The 19768-nt window shown below is 37.6% G+C and overlaps 1 long non-coding RNA gene across 13 annotated transcripts in view; it reads right to left on the reverse strand.

The window, feature by feature from the left end:
• The window catches only part of TTTY10 (testis expressed transcript, Y-linked 10), a 110070-nt gene that overhangs the window by 37525 nt on the left and 52777 nt on the right, over nucleotides 1–19768 (reverse strand). For 3 of the 13 annotated variants that reach the window (NR_197940.1, NR_197945.1, NR_197935.1), the window contains 4 exons: nucleotides 18162–18330; nucleotides 16066–16263; nucleotides 15301–15359; nucleotides 4382–4486 (listed from right to left, as the gene is read on the reverse strand). This is a non-coding gene — a long non-coding RNA (testis expressed transcript, Y-linked 10). Of the gene's footprint in view, nucleotides 1–4381; nucleotides 4487–15300; nucleotides 18331–19768 lie in introns of all 13 variants that reach the window. The other 10 variants (NR_197946.1, NR_197944.1, NR_197941.1 and 7 more) reach the window with 6 other exon arrangements.

Genomic DNA, 19768 nt, shown 5'->3' on the forward strand with positions numbered 1-19768 from the left:
TTTTGGTTCTTACGAAGGTGTGTAGTTTTTTGTTTGTTTTTCTTTTATGTGTAGATAATTGGTAACTTGATGTTCTTGGGGTGAGGGGGAGGGCTGTAATCAGTGGAGCTTTCTATTTCCACCATTTTGTTTCTTTTCTCTCCAAATTTTTATTTATTGATTGAACTTTAAATTTTGTATATGCATAGTTTTCCAATATTTTTATTTGTTCCTGCATTTTTGGGATTTCTTTTACATCTAAGGAGTGTTTTATAATAATCATGTTTAATTCTGTTTCAGGAAATTCATTTTTGTAATTTTTTAAAAGATGTATTAATATTCTTTATTAGTTTTATTAATATTCTTTATCTGATTATATGTTTGCATTGAGTCTTACAGACTGGTTTAGGTTTGAAGTTTTTCTCTATTAGGCTTTTGTGCTGAAGATATTGCCTTTGGGATTACAGTTTTGTGAGTTCTAAGTAGGTCTCCTGGCTAAACTTGGTGCACAATAAAAACTGAATTTTACAGTCCAGTTACCAGGAGAACTAGTAGACTGGAGTTCTATCTGTATCCTGGGGAGATCTGTTCGTCTCCAAGGTCATGGACTTTGGGGGCTGGCACTAAGACAAATATTTTCTTCATGACTTGCAAACAGTGGGGTTTTCAGCATTTGTGCTGAAAGGTGTGGCTATCTATGATAGTTGGGAGAACTACTCTTATGTACAGACAGGTCCCTGGGCCTTTCATATTGCCTCATTCTTTTACTGAGCCATGCTAGAATTGACATACAATGTTATGTCATCAAAGACTAAGATATCTAAACCTTCTTCTGGCATCAAAATTAGGATATCTATTGAGATAATCATGTGGTTTTTATCTTTGGTTCTGTTTAAATGCTGGATTACATTTATTGATTTGCATATATTGAACCAGCCTTGCATCCCAGGGATGAAGCCCACTTGATCATGGTGGATAAGCTTTTTGATGTGCTGCTGGATTCGGTTTGCAAGTATTTTATTGAGGATTTTTGCATCAATGTTCATCAAGGATATTGGTCTAAAATACGCTTTTTTGGCTGTGTCTCTGCCCAGCTTTGGTATCAGGATGATGCTGGCCTCACAAAATGAGTTAGGGAGGATTCCCTGTTTTTCTATTGATTGGAATAGTTTCAGAAGGAATGGTACCAGTTCCTCCTTGTACCTCTGGTAGAATTCGGCTGTGAATCCATCTGGTCCTGGACTCTTTTTGGTTGGTAAGTAATTGATTATTGCCACAATTCCGCTCCTGTTATTGGTCTATTTAGAGATTCAACTTCTTCCTGGTTTAGTCCTGGGAGAGTGTATGTGTCGAGGAATTTATCCATTTCTTCTAGATTTTCTAGTTTATTTGCATAGAGGTGTTTGTAGTATTCTCTGATGGTAGTTTGTTTCTCTGTGGGATCGGTGGTGATATCCCCTTTATCATTTTTTATTGCATCTATTTGATTCTTCTCTCTTTTCTTCTTTATTAGTCTTGCTAGCAGTCTATCAATTTTGTTGATCCTTGCAACAAACCAGCTCCTGGATTCGTTAATTTTTTGAGGGGTTTTTTGTGTCTCTATTTCCTTCAGTTCTGCTCTGATTTTAGTTATTTCTTGCCTTCTGCTAGCTTTTGAATGTGTTTGCTCTTGCTTTTCTAGTTCTTTTAATTGTGATGTTAGGGTGTCAATTTTGGATCTTTCCTGCTTTCTCTTGTGGGCATTTAGTGCTATAAATTTCCCTCTACACACTGATTTGAATGTGTCCCAGAGATTCTGGTATGTTGTGTCTTTGTTCTCATCGGTTCAAAGAACATTTTTATTTCTGCCTTCATTTCATTATGTACCCAGTAGTCATTCAGGAGCAGGTTGTTCAGTTTCCATGTAGTTGAGTGGTTTTGAGTGAGATTCTTAATCCTGAGTTCTAGTTTGATTGCACTGTGGTCTGAGAGATAGTTTGTTATAATTTGTGTTCTTTTACATTTGCTGAGGAGAGCTTTACTTCCAACTATGTGGTCAATTTTGGAATAGGTGTGGTGAAGGCCTTTGACAAAATTCAACAACTCTTCATGCTAAAAACTCTCAATAAATTAGGTATTGATGGGATGTATCTCAAAATAATAAGAGCTATCTATGACAAACCCACAGCCAATATCATACTGAATGGGCAAAAACTGGAAACATTCCCTTTGAAAACTGGCACAAGACAGGGATGCCCTCTCTCACCACTCCTATTCAACATAGTGTTGGAAGTTCTGGCCAGGGCAATTAGGCAGGAGAAGGAAATAAAGGGTATTCAATTAGGAAAAGAGGAAGTCAAATTGTCCCTGTTTGCAGACGACATGATTGTATATGTAGAAAACCCCATTGTCTCAGCCCAAAATCTCCTTAAGCTGATAAGCAACTTCAGCAAAGTCTCAGGATACAAAATCAATGTACAAAAATTACAAGCATTCTTATACACCAACAACAGACAAACAGCCAAATCATGAGTGAACTCCCATTCACAATTGCTTCAAAGAGAATAAAATACCTAGGAATCCAACTTACAAGGGATGTGAAGGACCTCAAGGAGAACTACAAACCACTGCTCAAGGAAATAAAAAAGGATACAAACAAATGGAAGAACATTCCATGCTCATGGGTAAGAAGAATCAATATCGTCAAAATGGCCATACTGCCCAAAGTAATTTACAGATTCAATGCCATCCCCATCAAGCTACTAATGACTTTCTTCACAGAACTGGAAAAAAACTACTTTAAAGTTCATATGGAACCAAAAAAGAGCCCGCATTGCCAAGTCAATCCTGAGCCAAAAGAACAAAGCTGGAGGCATCACACTACCTGACTTCAAACTATACTACAAGGCTACAGTAACCAAAACAGCATGGTACTGGTACCAAAACAGAGATGTAGATCAATGGAACAGAATAGAGCCCTCAGAAATAATGCCACATATCTACGACTATCTGATCTTTGACAAACCTGAGAAAAACAAGCAATGGGGAAAGGATTCCCTATTTAATAATTGGTGCTGGGAAAACTGGCTAGCCATATGTAGAAAGCTGAAACTGGATCCCTTCCTTACACCTTTTACAAAAATCAGTTCAAGATGGATTAAAGACTTAAATGTTAGACCTAAAATCATAAAAACCCTAGAAGAAAACCTAGGCATTACCATTCAGGACATAGGCATGGGCAAGGACTTCATGCCTAAAACACAAAAAGCAATGGCAACAAAAGCCAAAATTGAAAAATGGGATCTAAGTAAACTAAAGAGCTTCTGCACAGCAAAAGAAACTACAATCAGAGTGAAAAGGCAACCTACAAAATGGGAGAAAATTTTCGCAACCTACTCATCTCACAAAGGGCTAATATCTAGAATCTACAATGAACTCAAACAAATTTACAAGAAAAAAACAAACAACCCCATCAAAAAGTGGTCAAAGGACATGAACAGACACTTCTCAAAAGAAGACATTTATGCAGTCAAAAAACACATGAAAAAATGCTCACCATCACTGGCCATCAGAGAAATGCAAATCAAAGCCACAATGAGATACCATTTCACACCAGTTAGAATGGCAATCATCAAAAAGTCAGGAAACAACAGGTGCTGGAGAGGATGTGGAGAAATAGGAACACTTTTACACTGTTAGTGGGACTGTAAACTGGTTCAACCATTGTGGAAGTCAGTGTGGCGATTTCTCAGGGATCTAGAAGTAGAAATACTATTTGACCCAGCCATCCTATTACTGGGTATATACCCAAAGGATATAAATCATGCTGCTATAAAGACACATGCACACGTATGTTTATTGCGGCATTATTCACAATAGCAAAGACTTGGAACCAACCCAAATGTCCAACAATGATAGACTGAATTAAGAAAATGTGGCACATATACACCATGGAATACTATGCAGCCATAAAAAATGATGAGTTCATGTCCTTTGTAGGGACATGGATGAAATTGGAAATCATCATTCTCAGTAAACTATCGCAAGAACAAAAAACCAAACAGCGCATATTCTCACTCATAGGTGGGAATTGAACAATGAGAACACATGGACACAGGAAAGGGAACATCACACTCTGGGGACTGTTGTGGGGTGGGGGGAAGAGGGGAGGGATAGCATTGTGAGATATACCTAATGCTAGATGACGAGTCAGTGGGTGCAGCACACCAGCATGGCACATGTATACATATGTAACTAACCTGCACATTGTGCACATGTACCCTAAAACTTAAAGTATAATAATAATAAATAAATAAACAAATAAATAAAATTTAAGAAAATTAGGATGTGTCCTGGTGTCTTTTGGAGTTACCAATCCTGCTCTGAGGCTGTGGCAGAGAGGGGCTGGATTCTATTTACATACTTGTTTCAAGATTCACAGTGCATCCAAAGTGAGGGTATAAATCTGTAGGACACAGCTGGACCTGATTCTCCAATGGCTTCATAGCAGGCAAAATATCTTATGTATCTGCAAACAACAAAAATAGAGATCAAATATTGAGATCTATATATATATTAGAGGACTGACTGAAAGTCACCAGTGAACAAGTTTGGTAAGAAATCCCGTGTGTTGTTTCTTAGGTTTTAAATTTTCCCAGAGTATAGCTGGGGGAGCTGAAATTGAGATTAAGATCAAAAACAAAAACTATTTTGTACACCATCTTGAGATGGTGGCTTTTTTGATATAACACCAAGAAATTTCTTTTGCAGGCAAAATTGCTCACAAATACCAGTTAAGAGATGCTGTTGTCAATCTAATCAGTTACCTTCCAGAATATTCTTTGGCTTAAGGGACTTCAAGACTATCTAGTTGTAACTTATAATAATTCTCTATTGATACAGAGTAAATTTGGGACTTTGGCAGTGAAGCTAACACAGAGACTCATCAGTAACTGCTGACAGATGGAAGCAGGCAAGCTTGTCTGGGTTTATTGCTTAGGTGTTCGCTACACAGGCATAGAAACTCTGCCTACCACAGAATGGACCTGCTCTTGAATAGAGAGGCAAGCCAATCCTGGTGGCACAGATAGATGAGTTCCCTTTAGGCTCCTGAGGGGAGAAAAAATACCTGAAACGATGCCTTAAAAAGGAGAGAATCTATTTTACAAAATAACATCAGGGTCCACTGCCAAGACAAGGGTCAGCAGGCAGATTTCATTCTGTTTAGGCTCTACTGCACATGATTCTTCTGCATCTTGTAGAAGATAGTTTTGTGATTAGGCTCCCAGAATACATGTGAATTTACCCAGCCAAAGGGGCTACTCTTGAGTCCAAATTAAAGAGAACAAATGGCATGTCTGCCACATGAATGTTTATTTGCAGTCTCAAAAATCATAGTTCTTGGGCTACACCAGCATTTTACAAATCTCACAGCTGAATCCCAATCACTTTATCAAGAAATAAAGAAACTTATGTCCGTGGATGGGTGCAGAATTCTTCTGTTTTGAAGAGACACAAAATGGTGACCTCATATTTCACCATCTTGCTTTTATCATCCTCTATCTTCTATTTTTAACAGCTAAAATGTTATTGTACAATGAACACAAAGATTTGCCATTTAACTTAATATCAAAACTATTCACTCTGCACCATGTCTGACAATCAGCAGTTTCTATGTGTGTGAGGTTATATGTTTGTGTGGGGGTGTAATTGATGTACAGTGGTGAGAAGCAAAAGATAAACCAAATCCCTATGAAATCTTTATGTCCTTTGAAACACTTTTAAGTTAAAACAGCTTTACTGTGATTTGTAATGTCCTAAGCAGCAGTGCAAAGACATGAGAGCTTTATACACTATGTTGTAACTCTCCATATGTAAATAGCATGGGGCTGTTCCAATGTGATTTTATTTCTGATATCTTCACCTTTTTTTTCTTAAGCTGACACTGTCATTTCTGAGTTTTCTTACATAATGATAATTATCTGCATTTAAAATACATGTTATCCTTAACTTTCAGTTGTTTTTCCCAATGTTTTCTCCTCTTCAACAAAGTGTCTACCCTGTAAGCATATGACTTTATCTCACCACTCCTACCTCCTTCCAGTGATACAAATTTGATCTCTGCCTAAGAGTCTTTATCCAAGACGTGACACCATTTCTTAAGAGGTCCTCTGTCCTAGCTCACCCATTATTTCCTGTGTTTCTTCCTTCTAGCTCTGAACAATATACTCTATTTCTTCCATTACTGCCAATCTGATATAGAAAAAACTGATAAATAAGTCAAAACAACCACTGTGTAGCATCTCTTAAGTTGTTTATTTTTTTTAACCGCAGACTGAGAGCTGTTAGCTCAAATTTTACTGGCACAAGAGACAAAATTTTGCACATCTAGCTATGTTTAAATGAGTTTCAATGAGTAGAATGTAGACATTAGATTTTCTTGGTGTGCAAATTCATAAACTTGGCTCAGCATTTGCTGAATATTAAATAAATGATTTTATTATATGATGCTAAGCCAGCATTAGAAGTAGAGCTTTTAAAACTTAATTTCTGGAAGGGTTTTGAAGCACCATCACAGTGACATACATCTTCTTAAACTCTTGTCTTATCCAGAAATAACCTTACTTAATTCAGCTTTACTGAATTGAAAAATCTGCACCTTTATCCTGTGTACAATCTCAATTTGTGAGGGTCTTTATCTGTTATGCAAAATTGCACAATAAAGATTGTTGTGTGGTATTTACAGCCATAATGAATTTGTTTTTCTTTACTACTTCTCATATCATTTATTCTTCAACAATCATTCTACCTCTGTTAGCTCACAGGTGCATTGCTACATTCAAATATTTACATATCATGTTATTTTTAAAAGCCAAAATGACACCTTTTCAGCATTTACAATTTTCTTGGTTATTTAAACCCCTCCAGCTTTATTCAGGAGCTGTTAAATATTGATAAGATAGAGGCTTGTTGCTATATGCTTTCAAGTGCAATTTCTCTTGAAATTTTCTCACCTGGAGTTTCCATGGTAAGTTGCTAAGAGGTATCACCTAGACTTTTAAGTGCATTATAGGATACACCCCACTAAGGAGCTGTCTTTCCCTTCTCTCCCTCTTTATCACGGGAGACAGAGAGAAGGAAAAGAAGGAGACTGCAGGAAGAAGACAGAGAAAAGAAAATACAATAAAGATACAAAGAGAAAAACCTATGATAAAAGACTTGCCGTGAGAGCTGCACTTCTTAATTCTCTCTCAGGAGTTCTCTTCTCCTAGACCAGAAGGGACCCATGATAGAGTCTTTGTTTTCCATGTGATTATTGGGAATTCTAAGCAATGAGTTAGCAGAACAAGGACTATGGGTGGGCTGTCTGCTAACGGTTTGTTAGTCAAGTTTGAGTTAGAAAGAACATCAGAAGACAAAACTGGGCTATGATGATGGCCACAGTGTTGGAACCTTCTGCCACAAAAATATGAGTAGGACTTAAGCCTTAGAACCTCGGAAGCCAATTCAAGGCTGACATGGTGAGTCTCAGGATGAGATAAACTATGGACCATGGGATGCCAGAGCACTTTCTCTTGTGAGGCACAGGAGGGCACTGTGTGGGACTGGCTCAACTCACTTTTCTTGCTTCTGCTCAAGATGAAAAAAAAGAAAAAAAAAGGAAGAAGTTTAAAGATGAAGACAAGGGAGAACATTTGGATTAAGTCAGAAGGAGTAGTGCTTTGGCCACAGCCAAAACCGAAGCTAGCCCACTTGGACATGCTGTGCTCCAGGATTCTGCCTACCAGCCTGTCCCTGGCCCATTGGTGTCCCCAAGAAGTCAATATCCTGACCTTCTAAAGCACAGTAAGTAAGTAGAATCCCTATCTTTACGGTCAGGTCCAGCACAAGCATTACCAAATATCAATATGAAGCTTTTATCTTCAGACTTTTCTATCAGAGTAGCACTAAGGCACTATTGTTGAGGTGGTTGTTCTGAGGATTTCTGCGAATTAACAACAGAGTAGCTAGCCCATTGGCCCTTTGAGGATACAGCAGCTTATATTAAGTTAATCAAGATAATGCCTAGAACAGAGATGGGTAAGTGATGACCTCAAATTTGTCCAAGAAGGAAGGAAGCTTCAAGGACAGTGGCCCTGAACCTCTGAGAATTCCTGAAACCTTGGAATTTTGGCAGCCAACCAGAAATGGGTCTAATCAGTTCCAGGACAGGACACAGCCTGCCCTTAGCAATGCTAAATCTTAAATGCTTGTGGTCTACCCACCATCCCACAACCTCTTCTAGAGGCCAAAGCAGAAAGGTAACCTGCCTCTTTGTTGTGACTGTGCTCTTACGTGGCTTCTCAGTCCAGCCTTGACAGACAGCTTCAGGCATACATGGGTCAGGTTACAGAAGCAGTTCCACATAGAAGCCCTTAGCCTATATCCATCAGACTGGGGCCTGCAGGAGCAAGCATTACTGGCTATTGAATACACGAAAAGGCTGCATATATCTTTGGCTTTTACTCTCTGCATGCATTGAATCCCTTTTGTCATTAGGATTCATAAAAACAGGATCCTACAGTCTTGGTGCCCTGTGTTCTTAAAGTTGTGCCATCTTTCTTCCAGCTGTGAAATGGTCCCTCTGCAAAAAGAATGTTCTAACAAATTTTTTTCTTCCACCACCATCCTTGCATGTGTAAATCTTTATTCTGCCCATCAATCCTAAAATCTGACTCTAATACCAAAGGCTCTTTTGTCTTTTTACAAAGACTTCTTAATGTTATTTTCCTCCAATACTAGACACTGGCCATTCTTACCCTTGCCTTAAGATGCAAATTAAAGACTGTTGTGCCAGCCTTTCCCAATACAGCTTTTGTCTCCACATGAGCAGGGCTGCTTTTTCAATGAATGACATTTTCGCCAGACCATAGGGAATTACCAGGTGAACAAACTTCCCTTTGCTTCTGTAACCTATCTCATAAACTGTGTATGTAATCAAGACCTCATGATGCTAAATTAAATTTCTTGTCTTGTACTTCTCTTTAGTGATCTCAGAGAATGGTAAACCACTTTCTGTAATCATAGGGTCCCCTTAAAAAGAAAGAAAGAAAACATGAAACAAAAGAAACAAGGACACATCCCAGAATACTATTTTTAGCATCTTTGGGCAGGAATTAGACAACAAAGGACTTCAGAGGTTTTGCTGCCCATCTGGGTCTACTGCTTGGGTCCAGTCAGGTTATACTCCCAGCCTTGTTGCAGTGGCTTCATGTCCTATGAAAGCCTGACCCATGACCACTCTGCTTTGAGGTCTTGAGCTGCTTTCAAAAAAAAAAAAAAGACATTTTGGTTGAATAAATATTCAAATATTATGCCTACCAAATAGGTTGGCCTGGAGTTTGACTGTACTGCACCTATGACCAAAAAAGACTAGAAGCGTGTCTGGGTTTTGCACTCTCAGACCAAACAACCCTAATCTTACAGAATTTGGTCAGAAGCAGGGAGGCCTAGCTGTATGATTCAAGTGAGTACAGAATAAGAGAAGTTAAAGACTCTAGAGAAGGGAGTGGTGGAGGCATATTATCCCTTTGCAGGTAGCAGGTTATTTTGGGGTGGCTTGCTAACACCCTTCCCATCCTCGCCAAGCTGGGCAATTAGAACAAGGTAGAACCAGCAGTTCTGTTATCTATTTCACAAAGGCTATAGCTGGATAGAAAAGAGAGAGAGGGTCTGAAAAGAGACTTGTCCAGATAATGCCTTGGTCATTTGGGGTCAAAGGTAGCTGTAGGACCCTTGCCACTGTGGCTACCTACCAGGTCTTCATTCCTATAAACATAATACTTTTCAATACAGTCATGTGCCAATGACTAAGTTCAATGATTGGAATATATACAATGGAGGTCTCATAAGATTATAATGCAACTAAAAAATTCCTATTGTTTAGTGATGCCATAGCGGCTCTGAGGTAGCATCGCATCCCTCAAGTTTTTGTGGTGACACTGGTGTAAACAACTGATTGCACTGCCAATTGTTTGAGTCTAGCATACATATTACATACATACAATACATAATTCTTATTAATGATAACAACCATCCATGTACTGGTATGTACTGTACTGACTATACTGTATTTTCACTATTATTTAGCATATACTCCTACTCTTTACAAAAAAAAAAAGTTAAGTATAAGACATATCAGGAGATATTCCAGTACAGGAAATATTTCAGTAGGAGGCATTGTTAACATAGGAGGTGACCCCTGCATGTGTGTTACTGCCCTGTAGACCATCCAGTGGAACAAGATGTGGAGGGGGTGACAATAATATTGAAGACCCTGTCTCTGCATAATACAAGGCTAATGTGTGTGCTCATGCTTTATATTTTAAAAAATGATTTACATGGAAAAAATTAAGTAACCATTATAAGAGCAGATACAAGCTTATATTATTGAATATAAAATTAATGTTTATTCATCTGTATAATACATTTATTTTAACCTAAATTTCATTTAAAGAGGGTCAAGCATGGGCATGGTGGCTCACACCCACAGTCCCAGCACTTTGGGAGGTTGAGGTGAGGAATGCTTGTGCATAGGTATTCAAGAACAACTTGGGAAGCAGGGCAAGGTCCTATTTATACAAAAACTATAATAATTAGCCAGTGTAATTACAGTGACTGTAATTCCAGCTACTAGGGAGGCTGAATCTGGTAGGTTGAGGTAGCAGTGGGTTATGACTGCATCTCTGTACTGCAGCTTGGGTGACAAAGTGAGACTTTACCTTAAAAACAAAACAAAACAAAAACCCTAAATAAAATTTTTAAAAAGAAAAAATAAAATTTAAAAAATCTAAACTTTAAACAAAAATTAAAAGTTTGTAAAGTAAAAAGTTACAGTAGCAGAGGTTCATTTACTATTAAAGAAAGGTAGTTTTAATAAATGTATATATTCTAAGCATACAATATTTATGTCATAGTAGTTTACACTAATGTCCTTGGCCTTTATATTAATTTGCCAATTATTGACTCATCCAGAACAATTTTCAGTCCTAAAATCTGCATTTTAGGACATGCATTTAAGTATGTTCCCTAAACAGTTATACCACATTGTACTCCTTCCAAAATATTTTTAGTATACCTTTTCAGTATTTCATATGTTTAGATAATAAATACCATTGTGTTATAACTGCCTACAATATTTAGTATAGTAACCTGCTATGTAAGTTTATAGTCTACAAATCTATACCATATAGTGTGGTATACCATGTAGTGCAAGGTATCCTGTCTTGTTTGTGAATGTACTCTAAAATGTTCAGCCAATTACAGAATTGCTCCACAATGCATTCAAGTCATTAATTGATGCTTGAGTGTATTTTTAACTAGCCTGAATTGGTAGAAATGTGAGTGAGAGAATTTTGTCTTACTTCTTCCCTTAGCGCACACACTTGCTGTAAATTCGGGGAAGTTAATTTGTCATATTATCCCTTCTGTGATCATTTCTCATTGATGTAGTATAAAGAAATAGAGAATGTGGAAGGACCTATCAAAGGAACATGATGCAACCACACTTGAAATACAATATCAACAGATGTGGTTCCTCCTCCAGCAGCACAGTATAAAACATGTTGCCTTGTCTTCTTTGACAGAAACATGAATTTAATATTTACCAACTGTAGTCAGTGGTCAGTCATGAACACTAGCACTACTTCCAGACACCCATCCACTTTCTATTTATTTTGGAAGCAATCTGCATTTTACACTTATATTGCATATGCAATTCCATGGCTATGCTTGGTACTTACTGAATTTGTTGCAAACCTCGTTGAAAAGGAAATGGTGATAACATGCACTAGCTCAAGTATAGAGTGGAGATGCTTTATTCTGCTCATCTTTTTACTACATTATTTCCAACCTCTTCTCGTGCTCTTGACTTTAAAGGCAGCAGAGTAGTTCTTTTGGAAATTGTACTACTTGATTAAAAAAAAAATAGGATGCAGAGTATTGCCACCTAACCTGGATTTCCTCGGTTATACTGTGTTTCCTAGTTTATCCTTGTTCTTAACTCCAGTTTCTAATATTAGATATCTGCCTCTCTACCAAGTGGAGTATTAGAATCTCAAGAAGCTTCTCTAGGCCACAGGTTATATGCCATTGGACTTTATTGACTTCCTCTGAGTACAGAGTTAAAGGCTGTTATGAAATAGACCATAGTTTAGGTACAAGGTAGTACTCAGTTCAATATGATATTTGTGGACATTTAGAAAACAAAAGGTTGTGATACAAAACGAGTTAGTGGGTTCAGCGCACCAGCATGGCACATGTATACATATGTAACTAACCTGCACAATGTGCACATGTAACCTAAAACTTAAAGTATAATTTAAAAAAAAAGTCAGAGTTATTGTTTCTGATGCACAGGCTAGTTCTGTCTTCCCTTTACATAACTATGGTGGTATCTGCAAAGGAAAAATGTTGAAAGTCTGGGAGACATATGGTTGTATGATCTCATGCTAAATATGCTTAGAAAAGAGTCTAGCCCATGTATAGCACAGTCCCTGTATCTAACTCTACTTGCTACGCAAATAGTATGGAAACAAGTTATTTCTTTTTCTAGAATGGTATCTTCTGGCATTTTTGAGCAGTGTCACTGTAGATCCCTGAGAAACTGGTACAGCAAAGAGTGAGTAAGGCCAGATAACATGTTATTAAATATTACAATGTATCTCTCTGGCCTAGTGTCATACCTGGAACCATTCACATCACATAAAATAAAAAAGCCAGATTTTGGCTGTGTATTGTTTTTCACCACTCTCCTGTTCATTACCTTTCATCTTATATACCTAAATATATTCTGGCTTTTGTTCCTAAAAAATTTTGAGACTATGGCCTCCTGCTTCTGCTCCGGCAGAGTGTGGCCATCATTCACACTTTAGACTATCTGCTGTTTTAATAGAACTGTGTATGGGATGAAAATTTTAGAAGGTAAACCAGTCTGCACTGGAACTTCTTTATTACATACCACAGAAGGCATCTTTACTGACTTGTCCACATGCTCAGTGTAGTGAGTATGAGTGGATTATTTTAATCCACTCCTCTAGGTCACTTGGAAAAAGGACATTGTCTGTCTGGTTTTGGCACCAAAGTCTCTTATGTGTAAGTCTTGGTGTGACTCTTTGCCAAGAAGCTCAGTGCCTCATCCCAATGCTGCTTTATGTGTTGTACGTGTGCAAATGTGACTCATATACAGTAGTAGAAAGAAGCAAAAAACAAAGTGAAACCCCATGAAATCCATGTGGACTTTGACACTACTGCAGTACAACTGCATTAATGTGATTGGTAGTGCACCAAGAAGCAGTACAAATAGGTAAAAGCTCTATTCAACTCTGTTGTAACTACTTAAACATCCACACGTAAATGAAAGGGCATAGCTATGCTTTAATACATATTATTATGGTCACTTAAATTTGAATTTAATGAAAATGTTTATGTGACCATTTTTTTAGTGATTTATAGTTGTAAAGAAATAATCTTATTTCTTTGATTGTATAAAAACAGGTAGACGGTGGCTAGCTACAGGCCAAAATTTCTCAACCCCTTGTCTGAGGAATCAATAAAGAAAGACATAATTATATTTCAATAAATATCTGTTTCACAATTCTGTATTTCTTTTGCCTCTGTACTTTGTGCTTTAGTTGTTAAAGTCTTATAAAACAACTAAATAGGTTTGTCTTTCTGTGTTTTTTTGGAAATTTCTCTTTACCCTCTTCCTTTAATAACTAAACCTTGTTTCTCCTCCAGTTTTCCAAATGATGATAATCACTTGATGTCAATATAAATGTTTTATTTGTCTTTCAATATTTTATCTCATATAATTTTTCCTTATCTCTATAACTTTCACATCTGTTAAGGATATGGCCTTAATATTCTACAACTATTTCCTCTCAATTATGTACATATAGTAAAATTCCAACTATGTGTATGCATTGCCATCTGGTCCATAATTACTTTTTATATGTTCCTGTGTCCCAGCACTCCGCAATCATGCCTGTATTCTCGTCTTCAATAATATGCTGTCATTCCTCCATTACTGCCAACATATGATGTATAAATAACTAATATACAAATGAGCCAATGAGGGATTCTGTTTGTTTACTGGTCACCAAGTAACTTATTTTTTTCACTGCAGCCTAACCCTTCCAGAAGCAAAGCTATTGTTTTATATATCCAGTTATATTTATAAAGGAAGTCAAAATAAACAGATTTTAGCCATTATATTCTTTTGGTTTGAAATGCCCCAAAAACTTTGCTAAATATGTGTTTCAGATAAAATAGAAACTTTTCTGCGCAACCCCAAGACCAGCAGTGAACTTGGAACTTTGGGATGTAAATTCCTTTTATATCCCAATGTAATGGTCTTTTCAGCAACATTACTTAGATATAATTTCTCTTTGACTCTCTTCTTTATTCAAAATCACCTTAACCTATTTAGCACTTGAATGATAATTCCTGCACCTCAACTCTCTTCAGTCTCATACTGTGAGAGTCTTTTCCTCTCATCCAACAATCTGAAATAAAAATTGTGTGTGTTACTTCCTCCCATGGTCATTTTTTTTTTGATGACCAGCACCCATCCAGCAATACTTCTATGCATTGCTTCATACAGGTAAATTGCCAAAATTAAATGTTCACCCATGTTGTTCTTTTTTTAAAAGCTCAAACAGCATATTTTTTATCATTTAGCCTTTTTCTGCTTTTTATACCCCAAAAGATTCATCACCAGGCATCTATTGGCCATTGATGAGAAAAAGCCTTGCTACTATTGACCTTCAAGGTGCAATTGCTGTTTTAATTCTCTCACTCACTCTCACTGCTGGGTTGCCAAGTGGCATCACCCAGACAAATCAGACCCATCTAGAATATGACTACCTGGAAGTCTTTTGCCCTCCTCCCATTCAGGATGATGGCTCCTTTTCTGGGAGAGGTAATAGAGAAGAGAAACTAGAGACAAATTACAAAAAGGAGAACCAGTTAAATGAAGCCTTAACACCATTCGGTGAGAGCTACTCTTTTCATCAGTCTCTTCCACAAATGCTCTCTAAATTTTGTTACTAGAAGGCAGCAACCTCAATGTCAGGGTTCAAGGTGTTATTATTGGGAATTTCCATCATGGTTAAAGTGATGGGTTAGCAGGACTATGGGTGAGCTATCTACTTACAGCGAGTGTGTCAAATTGGGGTCAGACAGAAAGAGCAGCAAGGAACTAAACTGGGCCATGGTGATGACATTAGAAAGTCAGCATCTCCTGGCACAACTGTGTAAGCATGGCAACTGTCTTGGGCTCTCTGAAATCAATCCAAAACCCACCTGGTGAGTTACTAGATGACAGATCGTGGGGACCCTCTACAGCCAGAGCACTCTTCAACCTGGAATACAAAATAGGGAACTGCAAAATCTGGCTTTTTGTACTCTTTTTCTCAATGATTAGAGAGATGAAAAGATAACGAAAAGGTGAGGGTAGGGATACCAGGAAGCAGTTGGACAAGGCAGAAGGAACAACAATGCAGCTATATCCACAAGAAAATCCAGCACTGTGAACTGTGCCTTGGCTATTTGCTCCTGCTCCTTCACCTCTGCCTGGCTCACAATCATCTCCTAGAAGCAAAAATTCCTTAAAGCACAGTCACGAAGCAGTATTTCGTCTTTATTTCCAGGTCCAGCTGAAATATAACCACATTTAAATAATGCGGTTTTCAATAATTTTCTTTATCAGAACCTCCCATCAGAGTCCAAGGGCAGAATTTGTTGAAGTGAGTGTTTTGACAGGATCTAAGAAAGAGTATCAGGACAGCTCAGGGACCCTATAGGGCACTGGAGGCACCAGGTGAGTAAAACAACATGATATGTAAAACAAAGACATAGGTTACTGCTGACATGGGCTATGGCCAGGGTGGAAAGAGGCTTCAAGGACTGTGAAAACTAACCTTTGTACATTTCCAAAATTGTGATATTTTGGAAGCCAAGCAGGAGCTGTTCTGATAGGTTTCAGGATAACGGCCTGCCATCCTGGAGTTGCTGATGAAATGCCTGTCATTCCCTATACAAAGAAAGGCTGTTTGCAGGCTTACTTACCATTCACTTGCCTGCCCACGTATGCAGAAGTACAGAATGGGAGTGAGAAGGAAGGAGTCAGGTGACCTTTCAGGTTGTTGGTACGATGCTCTGGTTTGCTTTGTTGTGCTGACTTGGAGAGAAAGCTTAGCACACGATTCTGGGTATAGAAGCCTTAATGCCTAAGCAGCTCCTGGCTTAGGTTCACTGCCCTGAGAACTGCAGAAGCATAGACAACATGTTTTTTCATGCAAGTGAAAGCTGTAAAAACCTATAACCTTAATAGCATGAATGTATTGATTCACTTATATCATCTTGCTCAAAAGCAGAGCAGGATTTTACCACCTTGATATTATGAGTACTTAGGATGTTGCCACTTATTTTTCAGCTGTGAAAATGTCCACTGCAGAATGCAGCATCTTCTAGAAAACCTTCCTGACAAGTTTCTTTCCTCCATCACTGTCTCAGGGTATGAGATTTTTAGTTTGCTGACAAATCTCTTTTGTCTGCTGACAACTACTTCTATGAATCTTTCCGCATACCAGACCCTGACAAAATTCACCCATATACTAAAGGTCCCAATAAGAAACTCCTAGCCCCAGCTTTCCCCAATGTACCTCTGTCTCCACAAAACCTGGGCTACTACTGTACTGAATTACATTTCCTCCCCACCAAATAAGATGCCGGTAAACAATCTTTCATTTGCTTCTGTAATCCATTTTACAAACTGTATTTATAATCAAGGCCCCAGGATGCTAGATGGACCCAACATTCAGTCCCATTTCTAATGCCCATTTCTAATGCAGTAAGGGCAAGGGACTTTGCAAATATGGGATTCCTTGACAAAGACAGAGAAAAATAGAAAGAAAAACAAACAAGAACACATCCTATAATACATTCATTACTATGGCATATATGAACATGAATGGGGTAGTAAAAGCCCCTACAGATGTCTGCTTTGTATCTGGGTCTGCTCTGTGAGTCCATCTGAGTTATTTCCAGACCCAGGACAGTTACATTATGTCCTGAGCAAGCCCAAAGTACAGCCACCTGCTTTGAGATTTACCCTTTTATTGTGCCCCTCCCTTAAAGCTCTTATCATTATTTTTTGATCAGCCAGGGAATGTCCTGTGTCAGGTCTTGAGTTGGTTGATAAGCAGTGGCTCTAAGAAAGGTCAGCTAAGTTGGGCTGGTACACTCTCAGCCCTTTGACATCTCCTAATATATTGGCCTAGCAGGAAAAACAGTCAGAGACAAAGCAGGAGTGTACCTGAGATGAAGCGGAATTTAAGAATTGGAAGCTCAAACCCTGACACTTCCTGGCACACACACTGAGCTACGAAGTATTGTGTAATCTCTAAGGTCAGGCTTCTGGGTTCCTGAGAGACTCACAGTGGAAGACAACTGCAAGTCAGGTGCAGGGGTCCTCTGTCTTCTGCAATGGGAAGAAAGGCACTTCTGGAATTTTCTACTCAACTTTTCCCCTGTATTACGTAAAATAGGATTAAGAAGCAAAAAAAAAAATTTTTTTAGACGGAGTCTCACTAGGTTGCCCAGGCTGGAGTGCAGTTGCACAATCTCGGCTCGCTGCAACTTCTTTCTCCTGAGTTCAAGTGATTCTCCTGGCTCAGCCTCCCCAGTAGCTAGGATTACAGGCACATGTCACCACACCTGGCTAATTTTTATATTTTCAGTACAGACAGGTTTTCACCATGTTGGCCAGACTGGCTGGTCTCGATCTCCTGACCTCGTGATCCGCCCGCCTCAGCCTCCCAAAGTGCCAGGATTAAAGACATAAGCCACCACATACATCCCCATAAAAAGCAAATTTTGAGCAAAGTTGTATCTTATCAACCAGGATTCAGATTGGAGACCACCTGGTAATACTGAGTGCTGTATGCTTTTGCTTTCAACCAGCATCATCACAAATGTCTTCCAAAGCCAGGATCCCTCTAAACACTTGCTTCCCTCCACTGATATGCACTGTGACCCCAAAATGGTGGAGCAGAGAGTTAGTGGCATCTCAGTCCTTCAAATGTGCACCACTATTATTGTACAGTAGCAAGGGACTACCAAGTATGGGCAGATTCTTGACATCATACACTTGGACTACTTACTTTAGACTTCTTTTCTCCTGAATACAATTCACTGCCAGTTGACAGACATCCACAAAGTTTGAAAATAGGGACTGTGTGACCCAACTTATGACACAGTCTGAATTACTGTTGGCATGATCATTGCTATTGCTCTCAAGATAATGCAATGATTTTTCATTAGTTGAGAACTCTGTGCAGAAAAAATAAAATAAAAATATATTACTTCAAATTACTAACTTTTCTTCATGAGAAGCAGCCAGAATGGAAACACAAAATTCCCACAGAACATAATTGGTATTCTATGCTTTTGAGAGTAACTGCCAGTCCAAGGAAAGTGATTACAATGTGATTGAATTTTTTTAAAGCATGGCATGTTGTAGCAGTTGTAAGTTAGCATGCCTTCATTATGTTTGTGTCATTGCTGAGGTAAATATTCTACTTCACTGCCAGTCCTGTGAGTCTAGCATATATATATACACACATACAGATACACATATGCACACACACATTAAAATACATATGTATTTATATATAAAAATATATAATATATAAATATATAAATGTATATATGTATTTTATATATATTAAATATATAAATATAAAAAACATAAAATATATCTCATATATAATAGAATAGTATTATTTAATATATTATACATATTTATATATAAAATATATTATCTATTATATATGATATAAAACATATTTTAATATATATTTATATATAAAATAATTACCTGTTATTAAGTTTTATGTATGGAACATTTATATATTTACATAATACAATATATAACATATATTTATATATATAAATGCTCAATACATAAAATTTAATAATAAAATGTAACTATTTTAACAACAAATGACTTACATATTGCCTATATCATACTTTTTTATTATTACCCTAGAATATGTTTCTTCTATTTTTTATTTTAAATTTTAGATTTTGTGGATACATAGTAGGTATATATATTTATGGGGAAAATTACATATTTTGTTACAGGGATGCAGAGAGTGATAATCACAATAATAAGGAATGCGACATACATCCCCTCAGGCATTTATCTTTTGTATTGGCAACAGTTCAATTAAAGTGTTTTAGTAATTTTAAACATACAGTTAAATTATTATTAAATATAGCCATTCTGTTGTGCTATCAAATACTAGGTCCTGTTCTTCCTTTCTAATTATTTTTGTACCCATCCCCCCCTCGCACATCATCCCCACTACCCATCCGAGCCTCTGGCAACCATCTTTCTACTCTTTATCTCCATTAGTCCAATTATTTTGATTTTTAGATCCCACAAATAAGTGAGAACATGTGATGCTTGACCTCTAGTTTCATCCATGTTTCAAATAACAGAATCTCATTTTCTTTATGCATAAATAGTACTCCACTCCATTGTACCACATTTTCTTGATCCGGTCATCTATTAAACAGGAATGTAAAATAGTACATTCCTGGTGAATCACTGATCATCAGGGAAATGCAACATCAACATCATTAATCATCTGGGAAATGCACATTAAAATTACAGGGAGATACCATCTCATGCCTGTTAAAATGGCTTGTAGCAAAAAGACAGGTAATAACAACTGGCTTATAGCCAAAAGACAGGCAATAACAA

The sequence above is a fragment of the Homo sapiens genome, chromosome Y, assembly GCF_000001405.40.
Source record: "Homo sapiens chromosome Y, GRCh38.p14 Primary Assembly".
Classification (NCBI taxonomy): Eukaryota; Metazoa; Chordata; class Mammalia; order Primates; family Hominidae; genus Homo; species Homo sapiens.